A 16,629-nucleotide genomic window follows, 5' to 3' on the forward strand; every position below is an offset into this window, starting at 1 on the left:
TTATGGTGACCTGTGATCAGTGATCTTTGATGTTACTATTATAATTGCTATGGTTTAAAGGTCCCTGTAGCCCATGGATCAAGGAGTAATTTTGACTTTCAAGCCTTATAATTTAAGAAACTCAAGTTAGCACATGAATTATAAGAAAGCAAAATGCCAGATTGTTGATATGGAGAAAGTTTTAGTAGTCTGGGTAGAAGAACAAACCAGGCACAGCATTTCCTTAAGCCAAAATCTAATCCAGAGCAAGGCCCTAACTATTCGATTCTATGAAGGCTGAGAGAGGTGAGGAAGCTGCAGAAGACAAGTTTGACACTAGCAGAGGTTGGTTCATGAGGTTTAAGGAAAGAAGCTATCTCCATAACATAAAAGTGCAAGGTGAAGCAGCAAGCGTTAATGTAGAAGCTACAGCAAATTATCCAGAGATCTACTTAAGATCATTGGGGAAGGTGGTTGCACTAAACAACAGATCTTCACTGTAGATAAAACAGCCTTCTATTGGAAGAAGATGCTATCTAGGACTTTCATACTAGAGAGAAGTCAATGCCTGGCTTCAAAGCTTCAAAGGACAGGTTGACACTCTTGTCAGAGACAAATGCAGCTGGTAACTTTATGTTGAAGCCAATGCCTATTTACCATTCCAAAAATCCTAGGGCCTTTAAGAATTATGCTAAAAGCTGCTCTTCTTGTGCCACATAAATGGAACAACAAAGCCTGGATGACAGTACATCTATTTACAGCATTATTTACTGAATATTTTAAGCTCACCGTTTAGACCTATTTTTTTTAAATGGCTTTCAAAATACTACTACTCATTGACAATGTACCTGGTTACCCAAGAGTTCTGATGAGGATGTACAAAGAGATTAATGTTTTCCTACCTGCTAACACAACATCCATTCTGTAGCCCATGGATCAAGGAGTAATTTTGACTTTCAAGCCTTATAATTTAAGAAACTCATTTTATAATGCCATAGCTTCCATAGACAGCGATTCCTCTGATGGATCTGGGCAAAGTGAATGGAAAGCCTTCTGGAAAGGATTAACCATTCTAGATGCAGAATAATCCCATTTAACTACTTTTTCTTTTGTTGCCTATGCTTTTGAGGTCTGAAAAATCCTTGCCCAGACAAATATCACAAAATGTTTTCCCTATGTTTTCTTCTAGTAGATTTATCTTTTTAGGTCTTACATTTAAGTATTTAATCCATTTTGAGTTAATATTTGTAATGATGAGAGATAGAGGTCTAGTTTTACTTTTCTGTATGTGGATATCCAGTTTTCCTGGCACCATTTGTTGAAGAGATTGTCCTTTCCTCAATATGTGTTCTTGGCACCTTTGTCAAAAATTAGTTGGCTGTAAATGTGTGGATTTATTTCTGTATCCTCTATCCTGTTCCATTGGTCTATGTGTCTATTTTTATGCCAGTACCATGCTGTTTTGGTTACTATAGACTTGTAGTACATTTTGAAGTCAGGTAGTGTGATGCCTCCAGCTTTATTCTTTTTGCTCAAAATTGCTTTGGCTATTTGGAGCCTTTTCTGGTTTCATATGAATTTTAGGATCAACTTTTTCTATTCCTGTGAAATATAATTTTGTGAAAAATATCATTGGTATTTTGATAGGGATTGTATTGAATCTATAGATGACTTTGAGTAGTATGGACATTTTAACAATATTAATTCTTCCAATCCACGAACATGAGACCGCTTTCCATTTATTTGTGTCCTCTTCAATTCCTATCATCAATATTTTACAGGTTTTATTGTAAAGAGTTTTCACTTCCCTGGTTAAATTTATTGCTGGGTATCTTAATTTTTGTAGCTAGCATAAATGAGATTGCTTCCTTTCTTTCTTTTTTAGGGAGTTCTTTATAGTTTTATAGAAATGCTACTGATTTTTGCATGTTGAATTTTGCATCCTGAAACTTAAATGAATTAGTTTATCAGTTCTAAAAGTTTTTTGGATAGAGTCTTTAGGTTTTTCTATATGCAAGTTCATATCATTTGCAGACAGACACAGTTTGACTTCCTCTTTTTCAATTTGAATGACCTTTCTTTCTCTTGCCTAATTGTACTTGCCAGGACTTCCATTACTGTTTTTAATGAAAGTGCCGAAAGTGGGCATCTTTGTCGTTTTCCAGATCTTAGAGAAGAGCTTTAAACTTTTCCTCCTTTAGCATGATTTAACTGTGGGTTTGTCATATATGGCCTTTATTGTGTTGAGGTCTGTTATTTCTATTTGTTGAGAGTTTTTATTATGATGAGATGTTGAATTTCATCAAATGCTTTTTCTGCATCAATTGAAATGATTATATGGTTTTTGTCCTTGATTCTATAATGTTTATTGATTTAGGTATGCTGAACCATCCTTGAGTCCATGAAATAAATCTCACATAATCATGATAAGTGATCTTTTTAATGTGCTGTTGAATTCAGCTTGCTAGTATTTTGTTAACTTTTTTTTGCATCCATGTTCATCAGGGAGATTGGCCTGTAGTTTCTTTTTTTGGTTATGTTCTTCTCTGGTGTTAGTATCTGGGTAATGCTGGCTTTATAAAATTAATTTGGAAGAATTACCTCCTTTTCAATTTTTTGGAGTAATTTGAAAAGAATTGATGTTCATTTAAAAAAAATGTTTGGTATAATACAGCAGTGAAGCCACTTGGTCCGGGGCTTTTCTTTGATGGGAGATGTTTTATTATTGATTTAATCTTGTTATTTATTATTGTTCTGCTCTGTTTTCTGTTTCTTCATAATTCAATTTTGGTAGCATATGTACCTAGAAACTTAACCATTTCTTCTAGATTTAGCTTTTCATAAAAGTCACTTATGATCCTTTGTATTTCTAGGATCAGTTCTAATGTCTCTTTTTTCACTGCTGACTTTATGTATTTGGCTTTTATCTTTATTTCATAGTTAGTCTGGCTAAAGATTGGTTGATTTTGTTTATCTTTTCAGAAGAACAATTATTGGTTATGTTGATCTTTTTAATTTTTTTCTCTATTTTGTTTATTGTTGCTCTGATCCTTATTATTTATTCCCTTCTACCAATTTTGGCTTTGGTTTGTTCTTGTTTTTCTAGTTTCTTGAGGTACAATGTTAGGTTTTTATCTGAGATTTTTCTATTTTGTTCATATAGATGTTAATTGCTATATACTTCCCTCTTAGAATTGTTTTTGCTGTATCCCATAGGTTTTGGTATATTGTATTTCCATTTTCATTTGTATTAAATTATTTTTAAATTTCCTTTTTAATTTCTTTATTGACCCATTGGTCTTTCTGGAGCATGTTTAATTTCTATATATTTGTATGTTTTCCAAAATTTCTCCTGTTACTGATTTCTAATTTTCTTCCACTGTGGTCTGAAAAGTTACTTGACATAATTTTGATTTAAAAATTTTTTTTGACACTTGGCTTGTGGCCTAACATATGATCTATCCTGAGAAGGTTTCATGTGCTGTTGCGAAGAATGTGTATTCTGTAGCGGTTGGGTGGAATGTTCCGTAATGACTGTTAGGTACATTTGGTTTAGAGTGCAGTTTAAATATGATGTTTCTTTGTTGATTTTCTGTCTGGATGATCTGTCCATTGCTGAAAGCAGGGTGTTGAAGTCCTCTACTATCATTGTATTGAGGTCTCTCCCTCCCTTTAGATCTAATAATATTTGCTTTACGCATTTGGGTGCTCAACTGCTAGTTTCACATATATTTACAATTGTCATATGTACTACTCCTGCTCTCTTTTGGTTTCTCTTTGCATGGAATATGAGCTTCCATCCTTTCACTTTCAGTTTATGTATGTTCTTACAGGTTAAGTAAGTCTCTCACAGGCAACACATACTTGTTTTTTTTTTAAACTCTATTTAGCCACTTTATATACTTTAATTATGAAATTTAATCCATTTACATTCAAGATTATTATTGATATGTAAAGACTTACTCCTGCTATTTTATTAATTGTTTTCCGGTTGTTTTGTTTATCTTCTGTCTCTTTCTTCCTCTCTTATGGCTACATTTATGTTTGGGTGATTTTCTGTAGTAATAAACTTTGATTTCTTTCTCTTTCTCATTTGTGTATCTGCAGTAATATTTTTCTTTGCAGTTATTCTGGGGCTTACATAAAATATTGTATAGTTATAATAGACTATTTTTAGCTGATAATAATAAACTTTGGTTGCATACAAATATTCTAGACTTTTACTATCCCTTCTAAAATTTTTAATTTTGCTGCTTAATTTACATCTTTTTATATTGTGTGTTCCCTAACAACTTATTGTAGCTAGACTTATCATCGACCATGTTGACTTTTTAACTTCACAGTAGAGATATGAAAGATTATGTACCAACATTATGGTAATGAAGTATTTTGAATGTGATAATAAATTTACCTCTACCAGTGAGATTAGACTTTCATATGTTTTATGATAGTAATTATTGTCCTTTTGCTTCCAATTGGAATACTTCCTTAAACATTTTTTGTAAGGCTGGTCTAGCGGTGATGAATTCCCTCAGCTTTTGCTTGTCTGAGAAAAAATGTATTTCTCCTTCATTTCTGAAGATAGCTTTCCTGAGCATAATATTATACATGACATTGTAATGACACTTTGAATGTATTATCTCATTTTCTTCTGGCTTGTAAGGTTTCTTTTGAGAAATCTGCTAATAGTCTAATAGAAATTCTTGTGTATGTGACTTGATATTTTTCTCAAAAAGCCCCCAAATCCAAAAACTTTTTTTTAAGAATGTCATAAATGACTAAGCTAGAAAGAGAGAAGAAGGTGAAGTTGGAGAAATGCAGGACAATACATAGTTGGAGAACAGAAACAAAAGTCTACATAAAAAATACAGTTGAGATGGTGTAAGGCTACCATAATGTAAGGTTAAGGGAATCCTCTCTTTCTTTTTCAGTGACTCAGAGACTGGTCACTGCTTGATAAAATTTTTTTTCTAGATAATTCACTAGTATTAGAAGAGAACACAGAAACCAGGGCTACCTTTTTAACTCATTGTTTCAGATATAGGGTGAGGAGTGGTGTGATGAGGCAGAGAAGCTGGAATTTGAGCTTTGGTTAGGAAAATAAAGAGACCATAGGAAGAGCTGGAGTGAGGAAAAATTAATTATGCGACTTCTTCTCACACTTACATACATGCAAAATAAGTTTACATAATAATTATTGAGTCATACTCTTTTTTTTTTTTTTTTTTTTTTGAGACAGAGTTTCTCTCTTGTCGCCCAGGCTGGAGTGCAAAGGTGTGATCTTGGTTCACTGCAACCTGCACCTCCTTCATTCAAGCAATTCTCCTACCTCAGCCTCCGGAGTAGCTGGGATTGCAGGCATGCGCCACTATGCCCAGCTAATTTTTTTTTTTTTTGTATTTTTAGTTGAGATGGGGTTTCACCATGTTGGCCAAGCTGGCCTTGAACTCCTGACCTCCGGTGATCCACCCGCCTCGGCCTCCCAAAATGCTAGGATTATAGGCATGGGCCACTGCGCCCAGCTGAGTCATACTCTTTAAGGAATATGTGTGTCAAAGATAGCCTTGAAAGAGAAAAGAAGTGGAGAAGATACTCCAAAAACTCAAAATGGAATGTCAGGTGTGGACAGAAAGAGTTTGGGATAACAGGGAAAGTGTTTAGAGCAGAGCAGGAGGGAAGAACACATGGGACTGGTGCTATTCCAGGTGTTAATCAATGTCCTGGAACTGCTGTCACTGATCTAATGGGGATCTAGGCAGGAAAGACACAGTCCCTCTTCTCCAAAATCTCCCAGCCCAGTGATGAGCACTAAGTAAATTGTGACGACTCTACAGACTTGCAGGTGCTAAGGTGGGAACCCATGGTGTGCACTGGGAGCACAGAGGAGGGACCTCTTGCCCGGTGCTAAGGGAAAGGGGGTCAGAGGAGGCCTCCCCAGGAAAGGTGACATCCAATCCAAGTCCTGATAGAGAGTGGGGGCTAGGCCAGCAAAGAGATGTGTGGAAATGCATTTCAGGCCCGTGGAAAGTTTGTGAGATGGGAGAGCATGACTCATTCATGGAACCGCAGGTAGGTATTATGGCTAGGATAGGATAATTTTTCTGAAATGTGGTCTTTTCTCAGTGATAGGGAGGAAGGGCAAAGGGAGAGATGCACAGTGTCTCTCTCAGAACTTAAAAATTTTAATAAGGCAATGAATGTATTTGTATATATACTCTAAATCATTTGGATGATTTACATATATTCAAGAGCTATAACAGTAAAGAAAATTTAAGACAATACCAAATTCAGCAATTTTTTTTTCCTTTTAAAAGGATATATTTAAACACTGATGAGAGATGCACTAGAATTGTAGGCAGGACTTTTTTTTTTTTTTTTTTTTTTCAGTTATGGTTTACCTGCAAAGTTCCTAGTCCTAACAGTAGTTCAGGAATCCACAGATGTCTGAAGTGTGAGCTAGCACCCCAATTCATCTGACCATAGGAAAGGCTTTAGTGGACTCATACAATTCAAGTGAGACTCTGGCACTGTCTTTGAGTTTCAGTAAGTGCCTTTCCTTTCAGAGATACTGGAGAATTAGAACTGTGTAGAAAGTCTTCCAGCGTACAATATAGAAGCACAAATAGAGCCATTGACCTTAATGGGACATTTGAGGAGGTCATACAATAAAACAGCAGTCTCTGTTAAGAAATAACACTAATGGGCCTGGGGGTGCTAAATAGAGGGTGGATTATTTTCTTACCCATATATTGTACTTGGCTTCCACGTCATCTGGAAGAAATTTCATCTGTTATCTTCACTTGGTCTTCATTCTTATTTTAAAAAACCTTCTCTTCAGAGCAGAGCAGGTATCTGGTGAATTATCACTGTGACTAAACAAATTGTCCTTTGCCCAGTGATTTTTAAATATGTACACTACCCACCATGGAATTTACTAGGCCAGCTAAAACTTGAGTAGGAGATATAACTAATTCTAATGGATTTTATTTTGATGTAGATAAGTACTACAATTTAGAAAAGCATAAGGCAATTAGCAACTTAAGACCTTGCTAATAAAATGCTATTTCACTTTCTGGCAGAGAGTGCAATAGACAGAGATCAATTCTAAGAGTAAATTGGTTGAATATTAGTGCAGAGCCCTGTGATGCCATCAAAACATATTAGGCATATTTACTATATCATGGAAAGTCCTCAGTAATAGCACATACCTCCCTGATGGAAAAAGTGGCCATTTATTTTTAAAACTTTTATTTATCTCAGCTCAAATTTTTAGATATGTTTCTCCCCCAATTAGAATATGAGAATAGGGACTGTATTGTTTACAACTAACTGTATTGCCAGCATCTAGAACACTACCTGGTCTGTAATAGGCTCTCCATAAATATTTTCAGAATAAATTAGAATCATCTACACACCTACTTTGACATACACTGTCTGGTGCTTTCAGATCTGTCTCACTCAATTTTTGTCAGAGCTAGTCAGACGTCCCATTGGTCCAATGTGGAAGCTGAGATCAGAGCTAACTGTCCGAGGACAAATAGCTAGCAAGTGTCAGATGTGGGATTCAGCCCAAGCCTTCTAACTTCACTCTCAAGAATGTTTTCTTGTCTACCTTGGATTTAAGGAACAATTCTGGTTCTTTGCTGAGAGGACTGGGTACTGGCTGCTAGAAAGCTTTTTGAATTATTTCTTCCTTCTCCTTCCTTCCTTCCTTCCTTCCTTCCTTCCTTGCTCCTTCCTTCCCTCCCTCCCTCCCTCCCTCCCTTCCTTCCTTCCTTCTTTTCCCCCAAAGACCCCTGATATGAACTAGATAGGTTACTAGTGGATTTCCTTCCAGATTTCAATGTTTACTGATATACCAAGACATTATGCAACCTCAAAACACTTCTAACCCAAGAGCACTTCTAATGGTACCCACGGGGGTCCCTCAGGACTCTGGCTCATAAATGGGCTGTCAGGCCTCAGAGCCCTCAGTTGGCCGCTTGGGGCTCTTCCCTCATAGACATGCTTCCTTGTGTCACATGGACAGACAGAAAGTACTGTCTTGATGAGTCATTTTTGGCTCTGAAGCTACTTGTCACTCAGGAGGCAGGAGAGGGATGTGATAGAATCTTTGCCTGAATTCTTGAAGGGAGAGGCTTGGCCTGGTTACACATATTTCTTTTGTTACAAAATCCTCATTAAAATAGACACCTTTTACTTGACCCAGCAGATCTGTAGTTGTTTATTTTCTCTCTATTGTAACCAAAATTTAATTTTTCCCCAACCTTTGGACTTGACCATGAAGATGATAACCATTTTTAGATATTTATATAATATTTGTAATAGATTTCATGTAATGTTTATATTATATATATTTTATAAATGTAACGTTTCTCACTTTCTTCTTAACAAGATCTGGGGCAAACAATTTCAGGTTAAAGAAATGGTATTTTTAAAAGTTGTAGGGGACATTTTATGGGTAGAGGCCTTGCACCCGTGTCTCCCTTCTTAATTAGCTGGCTAGATTGCAGACTCACTCTTTGAGCGAGAGGACTTGGTTTGTGTGTTTGGGGGCACCGTGTGTGTGTGTGTGTGTGTGTGTGTGGATGCATGCATGCCCATTTGTATTTGTACATAAGTTAAAAAATAAGAATCGTGCCGGGCATGGTGGCTCACGCCTGTAATCCCAGCACTTTGGGAGGCCAAGGTGGGTGGATCACAAGGTCAGGAGATCGAGACCATCCTGGCTGACATGGTGAAACCCTGTCTCTACTAAAAATACAAAATATCAGCTGGGCGTGGTGGTGGGTGCCTGTAGTCCCAGCTACTCGGGAGGCTGAGGCAGGAGAATGGCGTGAGCCCGGGAGGCAGAGGTTGCAGTGAGCCGAGGTCGCGCCACTGCACTCCAGCCTGGGTGACAGAGCAAGACTCCATCTCAAAAAAAAAAAAAAAAAAAAAAAAAAGAATCCTAACACACAAGGAGTTTTATTATTTACCCAAAGATGTTGGTAGTTTCAGGGAAATTTCTAGGAAGGGGACTTCCATCCAGATGGCATTTTCCAGTAGCAGAAAGAGAAAGGAACGATGTGACTGTTAGTGCAAGCACTGTGCTGGGAACTCCACGTATGCTATGAATTCAATCTGTACTTAAAAATAAGTTTTACTGAGTACCTTCTAAAAGTAAGTTACTGTGCAAAAGCTGGGAAAACAAAGATGAAAAAAGTACATTCCTTTACGCCAAGGAATTTACAATCTGAAAGGTGAGGCAGGTGAACAACTGGTGATTTTAATTGGGTGTAATAAGTGTTATGCAAGACGTTTGTACCGAGTTATGGTGCAGGAGGACTTAGGAGAGGCACCCTTATTTTGTCTTAGCCAGACAAGGCTTCATAAATATGTACGTTGGAGGGGTTTAGGGAAGACTTCCCCAGGGAGGAGACATTCACCTTGAGTCTTCAAACGCCAGTCCAGAAGCATAGGGACAGCTTCACTACAGGCAGAGGGAAAAACATGCCAAGCTCCCAGAGGCAGAGCTGGACAAGTTCAAGGCTCCTGCTCAAACACCAATGCCTGGGAGGCAGGGCCATTTTGAAGAGTTCAGATTCATTTTGATGGCTGTGGTTAATGGGTCAAGGATTTAAAGTGGGGGAGAAATAGAATTAGTTTTGCATTGATAAATATAAATCTGTTAACATTTTGAATATAGACATATGATTATTTTTGTTTGCTTTTTTTGGACATTTGCTTCTTCAGAATGATAAGAAAGGAGGAACAGGGACTTTGCTGTAAACAGACATTCACAGGATCACCTGATTATTATGCTGGTTGTTGGTCTAATTCTCTTCCCATGAAGCATTTTTTTGGAAAATCTAGTGTGTTATGAAATTAACTGACTTAAGTTAACTGTCTTGCAATATGATGAATGGATTAAGGAGAAAATGACACTAGAGGCTGGAAACCAAGCATGAGGTTGTTTGAGCAATCCAATGAGTGGAAATGCTACTAGGAGATAGAATTGATAAGATTGGGAAGGAAGGGTTGAAGAGACACAAGCGTCAAGGATGTCTTGAGAATTTCTGGCTTGGGCAACTAGGAGGACAGTGATAAAACAATAGTGAACATTTATTGAGCACCAACTACGCACCAGGTACTGTTCTATGTCGCCTCACATATCTGAGCTCATTTCATACTTAACAATAATGCGTGATGTAAGTACTACTCTTTTCACATTTTGCACATGAGGAAATGGAAACAGAAAGGATAAGTAGCTTGCCCAAGGTTACACAATTAGTAAGAAATAGATTTGGGAGTCGTCAGTTCATAAAGGTCTTGCAGACGAAAACAATGGATAGAATTACTCAGGAGGTATCTGTTGGATGAGGAAAGGGCCAAGGGCGAATCTCTGGGAAATTCCAGTGTTTCAGGAATCGGCAGAGGAAGAGTCGTATATTACAATATGTCAGGAGTCAGCCTGTGAAAGAGGACTGAGTTGGACCAGTACAAGAGGTTGGAGACCCTGGAAGACAATGGCGTGATAGACATCAAGGGCCTCCAGGGCGGGACTACCGCCTGCTTATTCTGGATAAGGAAATGGAACCTGGGGAATGGTAGACCTGAGATTTGCTGGAAGCCCTGAGATTTGCTGGAAGCCTTGTGTTCTTCCCATGGCTCCAGAACCCCTTTGGGATTAAGGCATCATTTGTAGGACAAGCCTGTGGTTTTTATTTTTGGACTCGATAATCTGGATTGATGAAGAATGCAGGAGTGGGACTTGGTTATGAATTAAAGATCATATTATCTCCTTCTTAAAATGCTGGTTGTAAATTTAATTTCTTCTCTAAGAAATCGTTTACTGGAACATTTATTGAGTAAGAAAATTACTTGCTTTGAATTATAGCTCTTCTTTTCTCTTTAGTAAGAATTAGCTAAAAAGTATCTAGGAAGAGAAGCAGAAAACCCCAATTATCCCCCAAAAATTCATTCTCATAGTGAACCTTCAGAAAGTCTATTGGAAACCCTTATTATTTACAATAACTGTTAAGATAAGCTTATTGAATATTCTTCCCAGATTAAAATTCACCAAACCTCATCAGTTCTCAGAGATCTCTGCCTTCCTCAAGCCACTAGATAGCCAGTAATTTCCTTTCCTTTTATTGAACTGTATCAGCTTCAGAAGACGCGATATAATCCTATTGGTTTCTGTCCTCACAATAACACTGCTGGGACCCATCCTGAGGGTCCTTGAGGGTCTTTAACCTCTAATGTCTGGCCACTCTTTCTTCTTAGTCTGAGCCATATATATCATTCTCATATATGCCACACATACCATACATGTCGCATTCATTCAAATCCTACATTTAAAAATCTCTTGCAAAAGCCAGCTTGGGCCAGGCATGGTGGCTCATACCTGTAATCCCAGCACTTTCGGAGGCCGAGGCGGGCAGATCACTTGAGGTCAGGAGTTCGAGACCTGACCAGCCTGGTCAACATGGTGAAACCCCGTCTGAACTAAAAATACAAAAATTAGCTGGGCGTGGTGGTGCGCACCTGTAATTCCAGCTACTTGGGAGGCTGAGTCATGAGAATTGCTTGAACCCTGGAGGCGGAGGCTGCAGTGAGCCGAGATCATGCCACTGCACTCCAGCCTGGGTGACAGAGCGAGATTCCGTAAAAAAAACAAAACAAACAAACAAAAAAAGCCTATCTCAAATACTTGAGTCCTTTATGAAGTTTAGCACTTGGCTTATTTTTTGAAAGAATACTACCTTCTTTCCTGAATTTATATTTTCATCTCCCCTCCTCCAACTTTCTCTGGCAGTGCTTTTTGCAGCTGGACTCCCAATTTAGTCATCATAAAATCACTGTAGTCATAAAACCTGCTTGGATAGCCCTGAGCATAACTTGTCAATTTTTATTTATTTCTTTGTTTACTTGTTTGGCAGTCTCTTCCACTACCTTAAAGATCTAAGGAGATAGGAATTGTGTATTTTTTTATTTACTAGTGTAAATCCTATTTGATTGTAAGTCCAGTGTTCTTTTTCCCACAATATACAGGTAGCAGAGGCAGAGAGGGGAGGTATGTCCCTGACACAAGGACCCTGGAAAAGAGATGGGAAAATTAGGAAATTTACCCACTCCTAAGGCTAACCAGAAAACTCCACGCTAGATAGCTGGTGTGAGGGCTGGGTCTGTAGGGAAGATGAGCTGGGAGCCAGAAGATGAAGTGTTGAGATGGATGATAAAGGAAAGTCTCAGCCAAGACAGGAGCTGGAGCTAGCTCTGAAACACATGGGAAGCTGGCAGGATGCGGTCAGAGGTCAGAGAGCGATCAGGGTTGGTTTAGGATAAATTTTGCTAAGTCAGGGTGTCTGAGGACAGATCTTTTTTTATTAACCATTTTGCATGCTCTTGTCCCGCAAGGACCTGTGCCTCCTTGCACATTCATTTTGCAGAAAGATGCCACTAGGAAAATTTGAACTGAATAGGAAAAAAACTATCTGGTGAAATGAAAATGATCAGAACCTTAAATGAAACTGTGGCTTATCATTCCTTTCAACAGTCCAAAAAGGAAAATCCAGCATGAAGGCAAACAGATACTAGAGATTACCAAAAGTAGATTACAAAATGTGCAGTAAAAATTAAGTGGAAACCTTCAGAGATTGTTGAAAGGGAAAGTGTTCAAGAAGAATGGGAAGCTAAAAATTGAAACCAAAAGTATAACTATAAGCAATCAAATCAAAAGCAATTTTGATGAAGAAGAAAAAAGATAACTAGAGATCTGTATAACTACAGGGAGAAGTTTTATTAGAGTTGCTTTTTAAAAAAAAATACATAAATAATGTAAGGAGGGGAATATAATCAAGTTCAGATGTAAACATGGCTTTAATTTATCTGTGAAAAACTAGCTCTGTGACAAAATAAGAGAAAGGAAAAGCTAGTTTCTAGAGTGAGTGGAAGATATTGCAAAAATTCTTAAGCTGTGGGAAATGGGTAAACAATAAAAGGATCTTTCAAAGCTATATTCTCAATGAAGACGAGCAGCAGGAGCCTGCTTTTTTCCAGTATTGATGTAACTTTTTAATAATATAAAAACATAAGGCCTGGAAAGAAAATTTCTTCCTGTATATTCTATAATAACTCAGACTTATTAGTAGCATATTCTTTTGTTAATAACTTTATACCCCACAATAAGCTTTTATATGCACTATTTTATTTAATAATATTTAACTACTTTCTCCTAACACATTTTCATAAATTAGAAAATCAACAGTCTTCCCTCTCTACCTTCTTAAGACACTTTAGTGTGCTGCTTTATCTCTACACAATCTTCAGTGCTTTGCCTTATATCTACAACTCAAAAGAAAATTTCTGTAATAAATGTAGTCCCTGGCTGGGTGCAGTGATTCATGCCTGTAATCCCAGCATTTTTGGAGCCTGAGACGGACGGATCGCCTGAGGTCAGGAGTTGGAGACCAGCCTGGCCAACATGACAAAACCCTGTCTCCACTGAAAGTACAAATTAGCCAGACATGGTGTCCTGCGCCTGTAATCCCAGCTACTCGGGAGGCTAATGCAGGAGAATCACTTGAATCTGGGAGGCAGAGGTTGCAGTGAGCCAAGAACATGCCACTGCACTCCAGCCTGGGCAACAGAGCAAGACTCCATCTCAAAAAACAAACAAACAAACAAACAAAACCAAATGTAGTCCCTAATGAAGAAACAATGATAGGAAATTAAAGTAAAAATGCCTTTTTTCTCAGATCAATTTTTTCTTTTTAAGATACTTGCAAATTACATTTTCTCCACTGCCTACTTCATAGCTCAAGTCTGGCAATTTCAGCTGGAATTAGGAAGAGCTCGTGTGCTCAGCCTCAAAACCATGTCTACATTCCGACTGCCTGATTCTTCCTCTTACAGACCTCTCTGTACAACGTCTGTTGTGTTTCAGCTTTTTGACTCTTCAAATTAGCATCTCTTCCATAAATTGGATTTTGATATTGTTTCACCCCAGTCAACATTCAGTAATAGAACTTATGTGAAACAGTTCTTCCTCTGTCCTTTGCACATTTTCTTTCATGTTCTGCATTTGATGATACTTTGCTCTTTCCTTTTCTTCTGAATCCTTGATTTGAAAAAAACTTTGTGTAGCTCTCTGTATATCTTACTAACTAAACTTTTCCAATTGATATGACTGTCTCCATCATTTCACCTACAGCCTCAATGAAACACTTTCCTCTAGGCATCTTGAGATAAGTGGCACATGATATTTTCTCATTCTATAATGGGGAAAGGCAGAGAGAGGCTAAGTGCCTTGACTATCTGAGTGAGGAGTTGATCTCCAAGGAGCTGTTTAATGAGTAGACATTAGTTTCTGTTGAGTTGGATGATCTATATTTGGACCATGTCATTATTAATAGTTTCACTTTCCTGAAAATTAGGTGTTCTCATAATTTGGAGTTCTGGCTAAATTAAAGATTGTCATTTTCCTTAGTTATGTTCTATTTTTCTGATATGTTATATTTGCTCCCACCTCTACATTAGTGGATGGTGGCTTTTCCAAAGGTTGTTGCTGTTTTCAGATTCTGTGTTCCCTAGAAGGGATCGAAGCCCTTGAAACATCACTGAGAATTTATTACTTATTGATTATTTCTTTCATTTTCTATCTAGGGTTTTGAATTGATATCATATCACTTTCAATGTAAAGAAATAAAGTGAGTATAGATTAGATTAAAAAAAATGAAAAGCATAATTAGAATTAGGATGTCCTAGATGTTTTCTGGTCATCTTTTGAGAGCAGAAAATAATCAATATGTAGATCTACACATATAGGAAAAAATGCTAACCAGTCAAAGTGGAGAGGTGGGCATTTGCTTGAGTTTCTATGCATGTTAGAAACAGTTGCTCTTTGCTCCATTTTGTTGGATCCAAGTCATAACAAAGTGGTAGAATGTTCCTTGAAAGGGGAGGAGTATGGGAGAGAATTGGGAAAAATGAAGCCACTGGTACAGAGACCTGGTCATTAGTCCAAAAAGATAGTTTCTTCCAGATAATGTACAAAAATAGAATGGATGTGGTGGGAGAAAGAACAGCCAGAAAGAAACAAGGCTGTGCAAATGCTTTATCTAGAAAATGTTAGCCCTCCCTGGCTAATCTTGAAACTGTTTGGAAAAAATCGTTTAAACAAGCTACTTTCCAGTTCATGAGATCCTTTCCACTTTGTAGCAAGATTATGTGCTTTACATACACATTAGCAGCTTTGAGATTGTCTAAATCATGCTTCATTGCTTTTCTCACACTCCAGGAAGAAGGGAGGTTGAGAATGGGGCCAGGGCTCCAGGCCTGATCCTTTCTCCTCTTCCTCCTCCTCCTTCTTCCTCTCCTCCTCTTCCTTCTTCTTCTTTAAAAGTAAGTCTTCAGTACTGCTTCCCTTAAAGTCTTGCAATAACCTTATCTTGAGCTATAAGCACACACAAATGAAGTATATTCCTTCATTTGATCCCATTTTTCTTTTTCCCACATTTCTCTAAAATAAACCAACATAATAAAGTCATAATTTGGAGTTCTGGCTAAATTAAAGATTGACACACAATGTCATTACTCTTCATTCTTTGCTTTTGCAAGTCACGTGTGAGAAAGAAACATATTTCTATGGCCTTTTGACTGCCCTTGATAAAATCTGTACTTAGGGAAATAGCAATATCAATAAATGCTAAATAATATTAACACAATGTATGCAGGGGTTTTTAAGCTTCACAGAAAAAAAAATTTAAGACATGAATTTCCAGGAAAATTATTCTTGTAACTATCCCAAATGGTTTTTCTTTCCATCAAAAGAACAAATGGAAAAAAGTGCAAAAGCCAAATCAAACAAAATCCTTAGTGTGAAATATATTTTGGAGCATGTGGAATTAAATTTGCATTTTCAAATAAAAACAAATGCCCGTTTAAAAAGTCATCTAACTTTTGTCCTACGAAGACAACCAGTAAAATATACTGTTTCCCTTTTCCCAGCATACTCATGTTTGGGAAAACATGATTATCTGAAGAGAAATTTACTTTTACTAAATTAGAGTTTGAGGGGGGAGTGTGGAAGGAATAATTACAGATTATCCTTTTATTCAATCTCTTCTCTTGGAAAGAAGAGAAGAAATGTTGAAAGCCAGAGAACTTTTCTAAAACGCTGTAGGGAATTTTTTTTTTCTGTAAATATCCAAGTCCAAAAGGAGATTTGCAAAATGTGGAGTTGGAGATTTGAACTCATACAATATTTCCTAATACAAATAAAAATCTGAACCTTTTAATGGCGACACAGTCCACACCATGAATGGTCAAAATCACTGGAGCTAATGTACAGGAAGGGGTTCCTCAGGGAACTGTGGCAAATTTTAGCATCTTCCTTTCCTTTTAGGGACTGGACACTCATCCTTAGGACTTGAGAATCATATGTGAAAATTATATAGACTTCCCACAGTCTACTGACACATTACAGAGATACTGGAAATATTAACCACACATGTTGTCTACATACTCTCTTTCTCATCATCATAAGCCACCTGTGTTCTCACTGACACTGCAAATCCAGTAACCAAAACATCCTGTTAAAATTCTCTGGCCCTTCTTATCCATGTGCTGTCCTTTGCCACAGCTCCTAAATCCTCTTACCTTTGA

At 37.5% G+C, this 16,629-nt stretch overlaps 1 protein-coding gene across 1 annotated transcript in view, besides 1 other annotated feature; it reads left to right on the top strand.

Annotated features, from left to right (window-relative positions):
• Positions 1-16,629, top strand: part of EDN1 (endothelin 1) — a 66,679-nt gene that overhangs the window by 36,748 nt on the left and 13,302 nt on the right. The gene's annotated exons all lie outside the window — the stretch shown is intronic.
• Positions 7,915-8,034: a silencer, noted in NCBI's record as "silent region_16922". NCBI's record gives its function as "represses an Ori minimal core promoter by ATAC-STARR-seq in GM12878 lymphoblastoid cells {active_cell/tissue: GM12878}" and the evidence as "EXISTENCE:reporter gene assay evidence [ECO:0000049][PMID:35858748]".

The sequence above is a fragment of the Homo sapiens genome, chromosome 6 (genome assembly GCF_000001405.40).
Source record: "Homo sapiens chromosome 6, GRCh38.p14 Primary Assembly".
In the NCBI taxonomy this organism is placed as follows: domain Eukaryota; kingdom Metazoa; phylum Chordata; class Mammalia; order Primates; family Hominidae; genus Homo; species Homo sapiens.